The sequence below is a fragment of the Homo sapiens genome, chromosome 3 (assembly GCF_000001405.40).
Source record: "Homo sapiens chromosome 3, GRCh38.p14 Primary Assembly".
Taxonomy (NCBI): Eukaryota; Metazoa; Chordata; class Mammalia; order Primates; family Hominidae; genus Homo; species Homo sapiens.
The window spans coordinates 49,517,989-49,536,343 of record NC_000003.12 but is presented as its reverse complement, the minus strand read 5'-3'; the positions used below and the strand labels follow the sequence as shown (position 1 = coordinate 49,536,343).

General features: G+C 50.8%; 1 protein-coding gene across 55 annotated transcripts in view, besides 1 other annotated feature; it reads right to left on the bottom strand.

The window, feature by feature from the left end:
* Positions 608 to 1,606: an enhancer, noted in NCBI's record as "H3K4me1 hESC enhancer chr3:49572171-49573169 (GRCh37/hg19 assembly coordinates)". NCBI's record gives its function as "activates a minimal SCP1, AML or CMV promoter by ChIP-STARR-seq in naive H9 embryonic stem cells {active_cell/tissue: H9 hESC(naive)}" and the evidence as "EXISTENCE:reporter gene assay evidence [ECO:0000049][PMID:30033119]".
* DAG1 (dystroglycan 1) overlaps positions 729 to 18,355 on the bottom strand; it is a 66,668-nt gene continuing 49,041 nt past the window's right edge. For all 55 annotated transcript variants that reach the window (XM_047447546.1, NM_001177643.3, NM_001438888.1 and 52 more), the window contains one exon: positions 729 to 5,547. In XM_047447546.1, the coding sequence (XP_047303502.1) occupies positions 3,145 to 5,547 (2,403 nt within the window). In that variant the 3' untranslated portion in view covers positions 729 to 3,144. The remainder of the gene's footprint in view (positions 5,548 to 18,355) is intronic.

Sequence of the window (18,355 nt, the reverse complement as noted above, 5' to 3'; positions counted from 1 at the left end):
GCTGCTGCATCTCCTGCCGCCCACACTCCGAGCAGTGTCCTAGGACAACCCATCTGCCCCTTCCTGGGCACTGAGTCATGATCAGCCTACCCAGCTGGACTGTCCATCCCAAGCCAGGGACTGAAGGTCACCCCCCAACCCCCAGAACCTACAGGCCAACCAAGGCAGAGCAGCCTGGCCAGAAACCATTGTTCCCACCCCAAGGCCAACACAAACCTGCCTTGAGACTACCTGGGAGACTAGCCAGTCCCAAGCCCACAAGATAATGCAGGCAGGAGGTGGGGTAGAGCTGCAGCCAGAGGTATCCCTAGGTCCCCATCTTCACAGAGACCTGGCCTGAAGGAACCCTACCCAGGAGGTACAGGGGCTGACACACTCTGGGGCAGAAAACCCGTGACACTTTCCCACCATCCTCCTTCCCAGCCAGTCTCACTGGTTTCTCTGCTATCCCCCACCCCTTACAGAGGAGGAACTGAGGATGTAGGAGACTTGTCTTAGCTGATTCACAGGCAGAAGAGGGGTGAAGGGGGCATTACATGTTGGCAGAGTTTCTGGAGTGCACACCCAGCCCTCCCAGCACAGAAATGGTAAGGCTTACATGGAGGCCACTGGGCCAACCCCAAGTGGACCTGGCTGAGTCTCCTCTTCCCCGTCACATGAGCCCCCAACCCCTCATGTCCAGGAACCTCTCCAGATGCCAGGGAAACAGATGCCCAGATGCAACGGCGTTGTAATAAAGACACTGCTTTTATTTAGTTTGATATGTTTCTTTACAGAATGCAGAAAACACATCTTAAAATCATATAGAAGGAAATAAAAACACATCAGTGGTTGGTGAACACTTGAATGTGAGATTGGCTCTCCATCTCACAGAGTCCAACGACCATCACCAGCCCAGCGCTCAGGGGAGCAGGCTGCCTGCAAAGGCATTGTTGCTGTTGTTATTCTGTTCACTGCCCCATCGCCTCCAGTTGCTATGGCAACAGGCCATTCTGGGCCAGCCACGTCTCTGCATGGCAGTGCCCAATGGTGGAGTTGCTAGGGGCGACGGAGCTGTTTGGAAGGCCTTTCAAAGCCCTCACCTGGAACATTGGGAATTGTTTATTTTTTGATGAGGTCATCAGAAATAATCTCACCAGGTCAGATCCCACTTGTGCTCCTGTCTCTGGGGCACCAGGGAAACTCTGACTTGGAGGCATGAGCCCAGTCACCAGTGGTCCACTGAGCCCGCATTTACAGGCTCCCCCACAGGGGCACTGCTCACTCCAGAGTACCCCCTGGGGACTGGGGCAGGGGAGAGGGGCTGGGCCCTGTGGGAGAAGGCGCAAGGGGAAATGCCCTCTGGAGAGCAGTAGGACAGAGACCTCTCCCCCCCTCCTACCAGCCCTCCCCTCCTGAGGCAGCACACACAAATCCTCTGCAAAACAGTCGATATGGCTTAGAAGTAGCTGCTCTGTGTGCAAAGGGAGCCTGGGTCCACCCACCCACCCTCAATCAGGGAATGGATACATTATTGCGAAAGGCATTCCTCCCTAAAAAGTACCCAAAATAACGCTTCAGACATCAAGAAAAGTCATGCTCAAAATGGTTTCTTCCACAGGAGGAGAATCGAAGCAGAGTGGGCGCCCCTGAGTCATGGGACAGAGATGCAGATGGACGGACGGATGTTCTGCTAAAAAAGGCAAAAGAACCCCAGTGTAATTCCAGAATTTAAACCATTAGGAAAAGTAGGGGGAAAAGAATCAAAACAAGCAAAGCCGTCAGTTCCATGGAATCAACACTTAAGAGCTCGTACAAACTGCTGTAAGCATCACCATTTTAAATCTTTTTTTTAATAAAACAATTTGAGGCTGTATAAAAACTTTAGTAAAAAATTAGCTTTGAGAGCTAACAGATTTTTATTATGAACTATTGCTGGCACTCCTCCCCAGCCGCCAGACCTTTTCCAGTAGTTCAGGCCCAAGGCCTGGGACTGGAGTGCCAGAGAAAAGGGATGGGGTGGGTCGGGGCAGGACTGTGGACTGTTAGGACAAAGCGGCCAAGGTCAAGTGAGGAAAGAGCATCACATGACATAAAAATATTGCATCTTCACCAAAATGTCCCCCACTGAGTGTTTCAAAAAACCGTGATATTCCTTTTAGGAGGAAAAAAAAAAACAATGCACAGAAAAAGGGTAAAACAAAATAGGTTGATGTGGTGGAGACCTTTGACCTCCCAGGTGCCCCCACAAGCAGCTGGCCCACCCTGGAGCACCAAAGTTGGGGGCCACAGCCACCACTGCCTCTTGGAGTCCCTTTTTCATGGAAATGAAGACCCCTTGGTCGTGGGCCACTAGTGTACATGGGCTGGAAGTGGGGATGTCCATGGCCCAAGAGACCCCTCCAGCTTCCAGCCCCTGGCAACAGCGGGAGAGCAAACCCAGCACCAGGGACTTGGCGTGAGCCAGGGCCGGGAGGCCCCCAATCAGGCTCTGGGGTATCAGAGCAACCAAGTTGACGTAGTGTGAAAAAATAGTATTCCTTTGATAAAAAATACTGTCCCTTGGTCTTCTCTAAGTTTGAAACACCCTGGGAGCTTATTTTTAGCAAAGCAATTCCCCATACCCACCCAAAAATTATACATACAAGTTTAGGTAAACAGCAGATTAAACGTAAAAACTTAACCTTAACTTCTGAAAGTCCTTTGAATTTAATCTTTAGTTACTGTTTTCCATGTTACATCCTGCAGCTAGACACACGTGAATAGAAAAAACAGTACAGTTAGTGTTAAAGGCAAAACGCAGAGAGCCAGGGGGCCGCCCGGCACTGCCTGCGAGTTCATTCATGGTTCCTCGCTCCCTCCACCTCCACTCCACATGGTGCTTTCAGAGCCAGCCATCAAAAATGAAGCGAAGAATTCTCTATGAACAAACCAAAAGCTGTTAGGCAAAAAATAAAAATAAAAAAGTCCCCAAAGTCTCTCCAGCTGCTTTGGGGTTTGGGAGGACCAGAGAGGGCGGGCTTGTCCAGGCCCCTGTGTCAGTGTGTGCTAGGTCAGGTGTCGGCTCCCGGTGGGCAATGGTCTGCAGGCCACCGGTCTCCACAGACAACACCATGTCGTCTCCAGGCCCCTGCCCTACCCTGCCTCCACCCAGGCGCTTGCGGGTTAAGGTGGGACATAGGGAGGAGGTGACCGGTATGGGGTCATGTTCTTGGGACGGGAGCCCTTGCCCTCCATGGGTGCTGTGAAGGGCGGTGGGGGCTGGTAGGGAGGCGCATTGGGATCCTCATCCCGCAGGGGCGTGTACTCTCCCATGGTGTCCTGGTTCAGAGGAGTGGTCTCGGGCACACTCTGGTTGGGGTACTCAGGAGGGGGTAGGGGAGCCTTCTCCTCCTGCAGAATGAGTGGCATGCTGGAGGAGGGTGGGGGCTTGGAGTCGTCCAGTTCGTCTGCAAAGATGATAGGCACCCCCTTCTTGATGAAGGTGGCCTGGTCCTCAAGGGTAAGCTTGCCCTTCCGCTTCTTGCGGTAGCAGATCATGGCAATGATGCCAGCAATGAGCAGGATGGCTGCGACCACCACGGCCGGAATGACTGTGTGCAGGTAGACATCATCCTCACTGCTCTTCTCAGGGTCCCTGTCAGGCACTTCTGTGGGCGGCGCCTCTGAGGGCACTCTCCTGGGTGGTACCACAGGGATAAACTGTAGGTGCCGACAACTGCCAGAGCCCGTCACAGTGATGCTTGTGGCCTTAAAGTCAGGCTCTAGGGCGTTGGAGAAGGCAGGCCGAGGTTTTCCATCATCCTCAGCGATCCGGCGGCTCAGCCCAGCGATCTGCTCCTTGGGGCAGGGCTCCAAGGGCAGTGTGTTGTTGGTCCATTCCACCACGATGGAGCCCCGGGTGATATTCTGCAGGGTGATGGTGCTACAGTTTCGGTCTCCAAAGGCGAAGGCCAGTTTCTTTACCAAGGCAATCTTCTTGTGGATGTCATTCAACACCAGTGCCGGGTCACCCACAAACTTGGCCTTGAACCTTGCAGGAGCCCTATCCCCTTGGGGGCGCCTGTGGACGTGGATCTCGAAGGCATCCACAGCCGACAGGCCCCCCTTGTCTGTGGCATGCATGAAATACTCGTGTTTGCCCACGTGGCTGCTGTCGGGAAGGCCATACATGAGCTGGCTGTTGCTGTTGAACTGTACCCAGGACTTCTCGCCCACCAGCTGCTGCTCCCGCAGTTTCAGGGTCAGCTTCAGCTTGTCAGTGGTGGTGTCCTCATGGTCATAGAAAGTGTCTGACGGGATCTTCACCTCAAAGTAGGTGCCAACCCAGGCATCTACCCTGTCAATATGGTTCTTGAGCTCTGGGCGCTGGTTGGGTTCTCCGCCACGGGGCACTCCACTGGTGGTGGTGCGAATACGAGTAGGCGGTGAGGCAGTTTCCAATCTGGTGATGGAAACTTTGGTGGTGACCCGGGGCACTGGCCGGGGTGTCCGTGGTTTCTTGGTTGGCCTGCGAGTCGTGGTGGTGGTGGAGTCAGTTGAAGGCGTTGCTGGTTTTGGTGTGGATACTCGTGGCTTCTTGGTGGTGGTTGTGGGAGGGGTAGCAACTGCAGTAGGCTCCACATAGCCAGGAATGGTCATCGTTGGGCGAATCTGGCCAGGAACTGTGGTGCCAGCTTCTGACACCCGAGTAGGCTGGATGGGGCCTAGGGTTGGGGTTTGAATAATGGCGCCTCGAGTCCGGATGGTGACCGTGGGTTTCCCAGGAACAGGATCCCTGACTGGAGGAGCCATGGTCTCTGTTGGAGGAGCAATGGCTGGAGATGTGGGGGTTGGCACGATCCTGGATGGGGGCTCCTGGATAGCCGTGGTTGGGGGCCCAATGGCAGTGACAGGTGTGGGTGTAGCATGGATCTGCCTCCGGACGCGTTTGGGAAGAGGGGGCTTCTTATTGGCGATGTGCCAACCCACCACAGGGTAGCCAAGCTGAGCAGACATTGCGCCCTCCCTGGCAGGGGCCTCTACACCATGAATGTCAGGCACACTGTTCTGGTTCAGGGAGCAGCCCAGCTTCCAGGAGAGAAGGGCCCCATTCTCCACCACCTTTTTTGCATTTCCCGGGCCAGCCATGAAGGCCGACATGTCAAATAGTCTGTTATTCACCACCGGCACTAATTTCATGTTGTGAAGCTCTACTTCTGAGAAGCTCCGCATCCTGTGCAGGAGGTCAATCCTTTGCTTTGGGGTCATCTTGGTGAGGTCGGCATCCAAAATCACCGTCAAAACAGTCACAGGTTCATCCGCAGCACAGGCAGATGATACCACCTCACCAGGGTCTGGGGAGGCTGTCCTCACCGACTGCAGCTCACTGTGGTCTTCAGGGTAGACCTCGATGGAGAACACACTGGAGGTCTGGGGGATGTGGCTCCCGTTGGCCCCCAGCCGTGTAGCGCTCACTGAAATGTAATGCACACCCTTATCAGTGTCAAGGGGGAGGCCCTCCAGGGTGTGGCTCTGTGAGTCCCAGTGCAGCCAAGATGGCAAAGCCTCCTTCCCTGCCGCTGATACCTAGAAGAGACACAAGCATAAATTAAAAATACTATTGTCACTGCATAACCTGAATATGATCACAACAGTTAACCTGAATTGTGTGACAGGTTTAAGGTATAATTCAGAATGCCTGCTGGGGAAGCTGATTCCTCCCCCCTAGAGAGACACAACTGAGTTTATTTACCTGTCACAAGACTAGGGCTATGAGATGGGCTAACTTGGGAGGCAAATATCTCACCCAAGGCCACACAGTGGGGAGACAGCAGTGCTGGCACTCAAGCACATGTCTCATTCCCAAGAACTGATGCCATGGAGCTCACGACTGTTGTGGATTTTATAACAGTGACACGCCCTGCCACCTACTTGCCCATTCTACCTGAAGAATCAAGTCACATTCCAGCCCTCAGCATTCCTTTCCACCCTTGCCTCAGACTTCTCCCCGGCCCTCTGCAGACACCACATCTTTGCTCAGGTCACATGCCTGGCCTGGAGGACCATTCCTGCCCCAAAGTGGAGATGCACACAGGTCTGGGTACAAGGGAAGGCTCAACGCTCTGAAGGACTCACATTACAACATCACGTTACATTCAAGTGTAGTGGGGCACATTTGTGTAGCAAAGAGAGTTAGTTGTATCTAATGTTTTCATTTACCCTGCTTCTCAAATCTCAAGACAAACTGTGGTACCCAGGGAGCAGAGACTAGAATCAACTATTCTAGAATAGTGCTTACTAAAGGAATCCCAAGGAGCTCTGGTCTCTCTAAAAGAGAGAGGTTCTACAGTCAATCAAGTACAGGAAATACACAGAGACCTCTTCTGCCCTTGGAGAGACCAGGCACAGAAGCAGGCCTAAGGAGCTCATCACCTTATTCCAACTCAACAGCATCTCCCAGACTTCTTTTGTTGTGGAAGTCCCTTTCCACAGAGATATAACTGGTCATACTCAGAGCACCCAAGGAAATGCCACCATAGAAACCTCCACCAACAGCTGACAAGAGGAAAATATGACTTAGCTCTTGCCCCAGCCCCATCTGTGGCTCCTTTCACTTTTGGGAAACACCTACTCCTGCCCCAATGCAAGAAAAGTGACACCCCCCATTCTCTGGTTGGCCTGAAGGCACTCTCATCTCCATTGTCCTATAACAAGTACCAGAGACAAATTGGCCAAAACACAGTACATCACACTCCCAGACTCAGCTTAGGACTGCCCTTCATGACCACTGCTTATCAATAGGGGGACCCTAAAATGCTTCCCCCTCCCTGTGGCAGGAAAGCTAAAGCCACTGACTGCTGGATTCCCCAGTGCCTCTGGTTCCCTGGGCTTCCTCCTGCCAAAAAACAAAGTACTTGAGTGATTTGGAAAGGAGACCCCAGGCTTGTACCCAGGTGTCCAGGCAGCAGCCTTATCAGAAACTAGATAATTTCCCCCCTTTAAACTAATTTAAACAGGTTTCCTACACCCAGCAAAAATGTATGAGAAAGCTGGGCATGGTAGCTCATACCTATAATCCCAGTACTTTGGGAGGCCAAGGCGGGAGGATTGCTTGAGGCCAGCAGGCATTAGAGACCACCCTGGCCAACACAGTGAGACCCCCATCTCTATTTCAAAAAAAAAATTTTTTTTAACCATGAGATTACTGACATTGTTAGGAATTATTATTATTGGGCCAGGCATGGTGGCTCACCCCTGTAATCCCAGCACTTTGGGAGGCCAAGGTGGGCAGATCACCTGAGGTCAGGAGTTCGAGACCAGCCTGGCCAACACGGCGAAACCCCATCTCTACTAAAAGTACAAAAATTAGTCGGATGTGGTGGCAGGCACCTGTAGTCCCAGCTACTCAGGAGGCTAAGGCATAAGAATTGCTTGAACCTGGGAAGCGGAGGTTGCAGTGAACTGAGATCACGCCACTGCAACCCAGCCTGGGTGACAGAGTGAGACTCCATCTCAGAAAAAAAAAAAAAAAAGGCGTTATTATTATCAGGGTTATCATTTCCTAATTGCTCTCTGAGCCACTCATTAAGGGTTAGCAAATAGTGTTTCTTTTGTGATACCACATTGCATCAACTCTAAGATGTGCCATCATCTAATTAAGAATCTCCCACCCTGTCACTCACCATCAAACATCAGAAATGTTAAAACATCTGTAAACATGGGTGTCTTCAAATTCATGAAAAATGCTAAATATATTTTTCTTTAAAAATATTTTTTAACCATAAAAATCACACTTATTGGCTGGGCGTGGTGGCTCATGCCTGTAATCCCAGCACTTTGGGAGGTTGAGGCGGGTGGATCACTTGAAGTCAGGAGTTTGAGACCAGCCTGGCCAACATGGCAAAATCCCGTCTCTACTAAAAACACAAAAATTAGCCAGGCATGGTGGTGCACACCTGTAGTCCCAGCTAGTCGGGAGGCTGATGCACAAGAATGGCTTGAACCCAGGAGACAGAGGCTGCAGTGAGCGGAGACCACACCACTGCACTCCAGCCTGAATGACAGAGTGAGACTCTGTCCCAAAAAAAAAAAAAAAAAAAAAAAAAAATCACACTATTTCAAATGTTTTGGCTGAAAAATCTAAGCTTTACATTTTTCAGTTCATTTATATTAAATAAAACTGCCACATCCGTATATAAACACATAAAATAAAGGTTGAATGCTCTTGTTTTGCAAAAACAAACAAACAAAAAACCACCATGAAGCAAATAAGTAAGGCCCATGAGATGTTTTACAGGAGTGGGATAGAAGTAGGGGTCCTGAGAGGTGGAGAGTAGGTGAATTAGGGTGTGGACCCCGGTTTTTGGTCACCTGAGGGTTATTTCCTAACTCTACTCCATCCCAATGGCCACCAGTAGGACACGAGCTCACATGGCAGAGGGAGGATGAAGAAAGGTGACAGGGAAGGCCTGGAATAGAGGTCTGGGTAAAGCCAACTAAGGAGAAGCCAACTGCAGAGGAGACTGAACAAGGTTGAGAGGGACTAGAAGAAGGGAGCCAAATGGCTGGCTAGAACCATGGGACATTCCTGAGTGGCTAGGCGCTCCATCAGTGTTGATAAGTCAGCAACCTGTTGCCTCTCCAAGTCTGTCTTCAACTATACAAGGGCACTTTTTTTTTTTAGACAGCGTCTCACTCTATCACCCAGGCTGGAGTGCAGGGGCGTGATCTCGGCTCACTGCAAGCTCCGCCTCCCGGGATCACGCCATTCTCCTGCCTCAGCCTCCCAAGTAGCTGGGACTACAGGCGCCCGCCACCACGCCTGGCTAATTTTTCGTGTTTTGTTGGTTTTTTTTTTTTTTGAGACAGAGTCTCGCTCTTTCGCCCAGGCCGGACTGCAGTGGCGCTATCTCGGCTCACTGCAAGCTCCGCCTCCCGGGTTCATGCCATTCTCCTGCCTCATTCTCCTGTAGCTGGGACTACAGGCGCCCGCCACCGTGCCCGGCTAATTTTTTGTATTTTTAGTAGAGACGGGGTTTCACCGTGTTAGCCAAGATGGTCTCGATCTCCTGAGCTCGTGATCCGCCCGCCTTGGCCTCCCAAAGTGCTGGGATTACAGGCGTGAGCCACCGCGCCCGGCAATTTTTCGTATTTTTAGTAGAGACGGGGTTTCACTGTGTTAGCCAGGATGGTCTCAATCTCCCGACCTCGTGATCTGCCCACCTCGGCCTCCCAAAGTGCTGGGATTACAGGCATGAGCCACCGCACCCGGCCACAAGGGCACTTTTTAACAGAAAATAGAGAAGGGCCCTGCCTTCTCAAGGCTTCCCAGCCTGGCTCACTTCCTATTCTGCTGACCCCAACAGCCAAAGTTCTGCTATCAGGCAGTTCCTACAGAACAAACTCAGGCCATTCTATAGGAAGGCTCCCACAGCGAAGCCATCCTTGAAAGCCATACACTTATTTTAACTATGCCAAGTAACTTAAAAACATGTTAATATTATGTAACAAACAATAAACACTAAAGAAAACGTCAGGTTTCACCAAAGCAAGTTATAATGCTCAATTTCAAATTGGGAGATGGGAGATGAGAAATGAGCTTTATTTTGACTACTGAGAACAAATTCTTTCACAATTTATTTAATTTTATTTATTTATTTATTTTTTGAGACAGAGTCTCACTCTGTCACCTGGGCTGGAGTGCAGTGGCACGATCTCAGTTCACTGTAACCTCTGCTTCCTGGGTTCAAATGTTTCTCCAGCTTCAGCCTCCTGAGTAGCTGGGACCACAGGTGACTGCCACTATGCCCGGCTAATTTTTTTTTTCTTTTTCTTTTTTTAGAGATGGGATTTCGCCATGTTGCCCAGGCTGGTCTCAAACTCCTGGCCTCCAGTGATCTGGCTGCCTCAGCCTCCCAAAGTGCTGGGATTACAGTTGTGAGCCACTGCACGTGACCAAATTCTTTTACTATTGTCTACCCATGGCTTTGCAGCCATGTAAAGTTTACCCATGTCTTTGGGGCAAGTCATGTCAGAAAAACAGAGCTTATATGGTTCACATCTGTGTCACTGCCCAAATCTCATGTCAAATTATTATCCCTAGTGTTGGAGGTGGGGTCTGGGGGAGGGGACTGGATCATGGGGGTGATTTCTCATGGATCGTTTAGTACCACCCCCCTAGTGCTGTTCTCATGACAGAGTTCTCACAAGATCTGGTTGTTTAAAAGTGTGTAGGCCGGGAGCAGAGGCTCACGCCTATAATCCTAGTACTTTGGGAGGCTGAGGTGGGTGGATCACTTGAGTTCAGGAGTTCAAGACCAGCCTGGTCAACATGGTGAAACCCTGTCTCTACTAAAAATACGAAAATTAGCTGGGCATGCTGGCAGGCGCCTATAATCCCAGCTACTCGAGAGGCTGAGGCAGGAGAGTCGCTTGAACCCAGAGGGCGGAGGTTGAAGTGAGCCGAGATTGCACCACTTCACTCCAGCCTGGGCAGAAGAGCGAAACTCCATCTCAAAAAAAAAAAGGCCGAGCGCGGTGGCTCACGCCTGTAATCCCAGCACTTTGGGAGGCTGAGGCAGGCGGATCACGAGGTCAGGAGATCAAGACCATCCTGGCTAACATGGTGAAACCCCGTCTCTACTAAAAATAAAAAAAATTAGCGGGGCGAGGTGGCGGGCGCCTGTAGTCCCAGCTACTCGGGAGGCTGAGGCAGGAGAATGGCAGTGAACCCGGGGGGCGGAGCCTGCAGTGAGCCGAGATCACGCCACGGCACTCCAGCCTGGGCGACAGAGCGAGATTCCGTCTCAAAAAAAAAAAAAAAAGTGTGTAGCACCTCCCCCAGCCTTCCTCCTGTTCCGGCCAGCCGTGTGAAGCGCCAGCTCTCCCTTTGCTTTCCACTATGATTGGAAGCTTCCTGAGGCATCCCCAGAAGCAGAAGCCACTATATTCCCTGTATAGCCTGCAGAACCATGAGCCAATTAAAACTCTTTTCTCTATAAATTACCAGTCTCAGGTATTTCTTTATAGCACCACAAGAACAGACTAATATAAGAGCCAAGTCTCTCCAACCTAGTCACCTGCTTTCCCCTCTGCAAATTTTGGCTCCCCAGGGTCCTGAAGTCCCGGCCACTACCTGGCTGCAGGACAGGTGTCTAGATCTACAGCCCTGAAGCAGGCAGTCACTCCAGGATCATGGGTACTACTCAGGAAGAAAAAGTACTAACCTGAATGTTCTAAAACCCCTGCATCTCCAGTCTTGGTACTGGTGACATCAGGCCCAAGCAGCACTTTGAGTGGTACTGGTGACATCAGGCCCAAGCAGCACTTTGAGTGGTACTGGTGACATCAGGCCCAAGCAGCACTTTGAGTGGCAATGATTCTTTATATACATATATGTATATGTATATATAAGGGTCTCACTCTGTTGCCTAGGCTGGAATTCAGTAGTGTGATCATGGCACATTGCAGCCTCAACCTCCCAGGCTCAAGCAATCCTCCCACCTCAGCCTCCCAAGTAGCTGGGACATAGGCACGTGCCCGGGTATTTTGTGTGTGTGGGTGTGTAGAGACAGGGTCTCATTATATTGCCCAGACTGGCTTTAAACTTCTGGGCTCAAGCAATCCTCCTGCCTCAGCCTCCCAAAATCCTGGGATTACAGGTGTGGGCCACCATGCCCAGCCCTTAAATATACATTTTTTTGAGCCAGGGTCTCACTCACTGTCACCAGACTGGAGTGCAGTGGTGCAATCACAGCTCACTGCAACCTCAAACTCCTGGGCTGAAGTGATCATCCCACCTCAGCCTCTTGAATAGCTGGGACTACTTGAGCCAGGTGTGTACAACCAGGCCTGGCCAATATTTACTTTTTTGTAGAGATGGGTCTTCCTATGTTGTCCAGATTGGTCTTGAACTCCTAGGCTTCAGTGATCCTCCTGCCTCAGCCTGCCAAAGTGTTGGGATTACAGGTGTGAGCCACCGTGCCCAGCCATGATTCATTTTAATAGAAGGGCTACAGGAAGCAAAACAAACCTAATTTCCACAAGGAACCTGGCCAAGTCACAGGCACACTGGCACTTCTGCATTTTCAAGGCCATTTGGGGAAAGCCCCTACCTGGAAAGTCTGAACATGCCTGAAGGTTTGGCAGTGTCCACAGTCCCCAAAGGATTCCACTAGGAGCCCCACCCTCCCAAAGGGACTCAGCTCAGGGCTTAGCTCATCCCGGAGGTGCTAGGGGATAAAGCACCTGCTCTACCCTAACAAAGCAGGAGGCCCTCAGTCCACGGGAACTCTGGATACCTCCTCAGCTTTCAAAACTTATAGGCTCTGGATCACTTCTCTTCTTCTCAGATCCTAAGGGTGAAACAGGATATGAAAGTTCCTTCTCACAGATGCAGCCCAATGACAAGCCAGGACTCATCCCCATAACAATGGGGATAACAATCCTCATTCTTCTACTCCATGAGAAGGCCCATCTTTCACTGCGAATCCCAGCTCCAGGCTGGCTGGCGCTTGACCCAACCTTGGCCCCAGTGTCATCTGTAAAATCAGGGAAACAATCCCAACCTCATATGATTATAGTGCCAGGCACATGATGGACTCTGCCAATAATGGTTCCTATGGCTCCCATGGGCTCTGAGAAGAACCAGTAAGTAATTTGAGGCTACTGCACAAAGGGGCCCAGGGCATGTCCAGGCTCCTCTCCCTAGTTCTCCTTCCCAACTGACCTTGGACCCAGTGCACAGTGGGGTCCTGTCTCCCTGTTCATACCACAAAACAGAAGCTCAAAGCATCTAAGGTAAGTGGGGAGGCAACAGGCAATGAGGGAGCCAAAATCATATAGAGAAACAAAGCTGAGGCTGGGGAAGCTCAGAGAGTTGCCTGTCAACACTTGTCTACCAGAAGTAGATGAAAACACTAAGGGGCATGGGGGAAGTGGGGGACCTGCTGCAGGTGAGAACCCAAAGACCTGCTTTCACCTCTTCAACCTAAAACAGGTGGACTAGGCCAGGCACAGTGGCTCACACCTGTAATCCCAGCACTCTAGGAGGCCAAGGCGAGAGGATTGTTTGAGGCCAGAAGTTCAAGACCAGCCTGGGCAACATAGTGAGACTTTGTCTCTATAATTAATAAAATGGGTGCACTAGATCCTGGCACATTTACACATGGGATTTTGACTATCCTTAGAGTCCTTGGTTTGCCTGGTATAAAGATTTCTGCCTACTATACCACAGCCACCCACAACTAATCCTCTAAGGGCTGCCAGGCCAGGAAGGGCAGAAAAGAGGCAGGAATTGGGGCTCTGAGGTCCTTAGCAGCAGAGGCACAGAGGCACATGAGTTTGGGGTGACAAGCTGGTCCCACCGTGGAACTCCTCCAGCATTTCAGGTCTCTCTACCAGCCAACACCAAACACCAACACTGCCTTGGAGCTGGGAGAGGCAAGGCCTGCTGACCTTACAGTTGCTGTCTTGAAAGAAGCCTTCAGACAGTTACTAGGCACATCTGCAGGAGGCAGAAACTGCCCAAGAAAGCCTGATTTAAGGAGATCACAGGCTGTAGCTCACAGGCCACCAAAAAGGCCAGAAAACTTTCTGGTTTCGGCAACCCTTAGAGACGATGTGCTTCTGAGATAGAAAGTAAGTCTAGCATTAAGGAAAAAAAGATCTTGAAAAGCCTATAACCAGCTTCTGAAATCCTGACCCACAAAGTGCATCCCAAAACATTAAGAATCAAAACCACAAAACCTGGGCAGATCCACAAAAAGTTCCAAAGACTGAGCTGGGCATGGTGGCTCACACCTATAACCCCAGCTACTCAGGAGGCTGAGGCGGGAGGATCACTTGAGGCCAGGAGTTGAGCCCAGCCTGGGCAACATACCATGATGCAGTCTTAAAAAAAAAAAAAAGGGGTGGGAGGGGGGCGGGCGTGGTGGCTCAAGCCTGCAATCGCAGCACTTCGGGAGCCGAAGCGGGTGGATCACGAGGTCAGGAGTTCAAGAGCAGCCTGGCCAACATGGTGAAAGCCCATCTCTACTAAAAATACAAAAAAAAGCCAGGCGCAGTGGCTCACGCCTGTAATCCCAGCAGTTTGGGAGGCTGAGGTGAGCGGATCACCTGAGGTCAGGAGTTCAAGACCAGCCTGGCCAACATGGTGAAACCCCATCTCTACTAAAAATACAAAAAAATTAGCTGGGTGTGGTGGCAGGCACCTGTAATCCCAGCTACTTGGGAGGCTGAGGCAGGAGAATTGCTTGAACCCGGGAGGCGGAAGTTGCAGTGAGCCGAGATCACACCATTGCACTCCAGCCTGGGGGACAAGAGTGAGACTTTGTCTCAAAAAAAAATAAAATAAAGTAAAAAGAAAATTAGCCGGGCATGTTGGTGCGCACCTGTAATCCCAGCTACTTAGGAGGCTGAAGCAGGAGAATTGCTTGAACCCGGGAGGTGGAGATTGCAGTGAGCCAAGATCGTGCCACCGCACTCCAGCCTGGGCGACAGAGCGAGACTCCATCTCAAAAAAAAAAACAAAGGTCTAAAACTGTGATGCCCACAATAAATCACCATGACCAATGACCAGGGAACTGCCAAATTTGAACATTTTGGTCACTCCTCAGTCTCTGGGACACTCCCTCCAGCTGCTTTACTGATGCCCTCTGCACACAATAGACCATCAAACACTGACTTTGATAAAGATACAGCACCTGTAGGCACTAAACACCATCAGCCTGGGCAACACGGCAAAACGTCGTCTTTACAAAAAAGAAAAATTAGCTGGGCGTGGTGGTCCCAGCTACTCAGGAGGCTGAGGTGGGAAGCCTGCTTGAGCCTGGGGAAGTCAAGGCTGCAGTGAGCTATGATTGCGCCACCGCACCTTGGCCTGGGTGACAGAGCAAGACCTGTCTCAAAAAAACAAAGACGGCCGGGCGCAGTGGCTCACGCCTGTAATCCCAGCACTTTGGGAGGCTGAGGCGGGTGGATCACGAGGTCAGGAGATCGAGACCATCCTGGCTAACACGGTGAAACCCCGTCTCTACTAAAAATACAAAAAAAATAAGCCAGGTGTGGTGGCGGGTGCCTGTAGTCCCAGCTACTTGGGAGGCTGAGGCAGGAAAATGGCGTGAACCCAGGAGGCGGAGCTTGCAGTGAGCCGAGATCGCGCCACTGCACTCCAGCCTGGGCAAAGAGCGAGACTCTGTCTCAAAAAACAACAACAACAAAAACAAACAAAAAAACAAAACAAAAAAAAACACCATGAAACTCAAGCAAAGTCTCTCACCCCAAGCCAGTACCATTCCACACCTGAAGAAAGAGCAAATGGCTGGAGGAGCTTCTATTACTTAGTTCTCATAAAAGCAGGTTTCCACCCATAGTCTGAGTCAGTTATGCATAGCTGAAAAACAAAACTGAAGAATTAGGCTCTCTCTAGGGCCAAATAATTATAATTGGCTTATGAAACCAAGAAAACACAAGCTGTATCATTCAGGGCCCACAAGATGATGTCTTATCCATGCAGGAGTTGCAGGACTTAGAAATGGCAAGCAAAGACTCTAGACAGATGTACGAGCACTTTCACAGCTGATGATGGCCAGTAAAGAGGGATCCTAAGAATAACATAATCGAGAAACTGATTTGGTGAGCATTCCTTCTCACTACAAATCTTTTGGAGGGAACTTTGGGCCTTGGTGGTGGCACCTTCCATCAATACCTCTGGACATGTCAGCCCTTAAGGTGTGGGCTGGGCCCTTCCCCGTGTCCCCCAACAGATCCATTTCAAAGTGATACAGACTGCTGCCCCGTGACATCCCAATGCTGGACCTGCAGAGGCCTGCGTTGGCAAAGTCCCTGCTTTCCTTCAGACCTGGTCATCAATTCCCGACCTTTCAGCTCCCTCATCCCTAGTCAGGCTGCAGAGCTGGGCCAACCTGCAGCCATCTATGGCTGGGTACCATAGACAACACCCTGGAGGCACTCCCACATGAGGCAGTCAAGGCCTCCTCATTGCAAGCTGACTGTGTGTCCTCTGCTCAGGGAAGCAGGAGATGGACCCTCTGATGGAGTATCAGCCTTGGTGCTGACTCACACTCAGGGTTATCCTGTGTCTGTGCCATGGACTAAGACAATGAGATAAATCTGCTCTGTGGCCTTCTGCTAATGAGGAACATGGGCAGTCACATGGCTGTGCTGCAGGGAGATGGCACAGACCAACAGGAAGAGCCTCTAGCTTAAGGTCAGAGGGCCAGGCCTTTGTCCCCACCTGAGGTAAAAAATCATGAGGGAAGTTAAGTACATGCGGCCTTAGCAGAGTCACACCCACAAGGGATCATCATTGGTCCTGCTGTTAGACATGCAAACCTCAAAGCAGAACCTGGCCCCTGCCACAAACACCAACGCCACAGGATCAATACTGAACACACTGTTCAGCCCAGTCAATGCCCTTCTGGTCTGAGCTACAAAGCATTTTATCTCATGTTCACTGTTCTCATCTAAAAGCAAAAATTAGTCTTTTTCCCCAAAAAAGTAAAGGGCAGCTTAACATAGTTAGAGCCACTAATAAAATCCTCAGAATCAGTCCTTCAATCTGGAGCCCTGACATCATCTATTTTACTTTGTCATGTTCTCTTTCAGTCTTTGTCAGTGATTTTTTTAAACATAGAAGCCTATATTTTCACTAAGTATTTGAGTTGATGAATCTGGGCAAATGCCATTCTGACAGCCCACCCCCAAGGATGCCTTCCATCGCCAACCCGCATTTCCCGGTGTGCTTTGTTCACAAGGGGTCCATTCAGAAATGCGGAACACCCACTCAAGGCAGGAAGAAACTGCAGCTCATCTCACACAGGCGGGGCTGCCACAAAGCTCTCAAGCATCCAAAGAAATGCTCCTTTCATGAACTCCCCTTCCTAGCCAAAGAGAGTGCCCATTGTTCTCAGGGGAACAATTGGGGGCCCGTGCCAGCAGCTGAGAGCACAGTCCCAGGAAGGGCTGCTCCCAGCCTGCCAACATCTTGGGCTGAGGGAAGGTCCACATTGTCTGCAGGCAAGAAGGCTAAAGGGAAGCAGGGATGAAAAGCCATCCTTGCAGGCTCTACCAAAATGAGACATCTGAGGGGCAGCCTGGGCATTTCATGAAATGTAAAGATGTCTCTCCCTGACCACCTTCGAGGAGAGGTTAGAACATCTCCTGGCATATAATCACATTTCTCAGCCAGTCCCACACTCAAGTCAGAGGAGAGGTGCCTGCAGGGATCCAGCACCAAACCCAAGGGAGACAAGGGTGGCTCATACTGTTGCCAGCCCAGGACAGGCCAGGATCCACTGAGTGAAGGCCAGGTTGGCTTCTGTGGGACCCATCCCCACAGACCCTGATAAGGAGAAAGGGTCCTCTCAGCTCCAAAAGTAGCTGTGAGAGCCAAGGACAGTCAAGAGCTGGGCTGAGCTTTGTATACAGGCATCCAGTCTGATTCAAGGGAGCAAACATCAAGACTATCTGCTTTAGGGTTTCCTAAGGCCACAAGAGAGGAGACAGGGGCCCCATGGCACAGGTCTCTCAAAAAAGCTATGCTGGCCATGAGGACCTTGAGGGAGCCCATAGCCCCTTCTCACACGTCTGGTCAAAGCAGTCCATGTGTGAGTTAAGCTGGGGTCAATAACAGAATATCAATTCTCAAGGCAGAACTGGAGAACAGCATTGGTTAAGCAACAAGTGCTGGCCAGGCTGAGACTGGACAAGAGCTGTCAGAACATGAAGGAGTGTCAGGTGTGGGGCAGAGCAGAAGAGCCAGGATCTTGGGGCTATACCCTCTGCGCAGGCAGGTCCCTTCTTTATTCTCCTGACCCTGCAGACTGACGTGTAAAGTATACACCAATATAAAATGTAGCGAAGCATTTGCTTCAGGCGCTTTGTTGGGTATATCAACAGACTGACACCAGGCAGCACAACCTCCTGAAATAAAGTAACCAGAAGCCCACACAGGTCAGGCCAGGCTTTTCAGGCAGTCAACACAGCTCACTTAGAATGAGAACTTAATTTTCTAGCCCTTCAACAGACCAGCATCTAAGTGTGCTATAAACACTGGATTATTCTACCGTCAACCCCCATGCATATCCCCTAACCAATCAGCAAGTATGACAACTATGCCATCTAATCTCACCAGGTCTTGGGACAGACCATGCAGATCACGTTCCACCTGAGTCTTCATTTGGCAACTCAGCCCTGCCCAAATAGACCAACCCTCATCTGGACATCCCACATGGGGCTTAGGAGGAAGCAGGCCAGGCTCAGTACCTCCTACCTCAGTTCTTCACCAGCTTCTTCTTCCTCTGATACTTGGGGAAGAAAGCCTTTGAAAAGCCCCTTACGGACCCACTTCTCTCTCCATTTACTTTCACTCAAA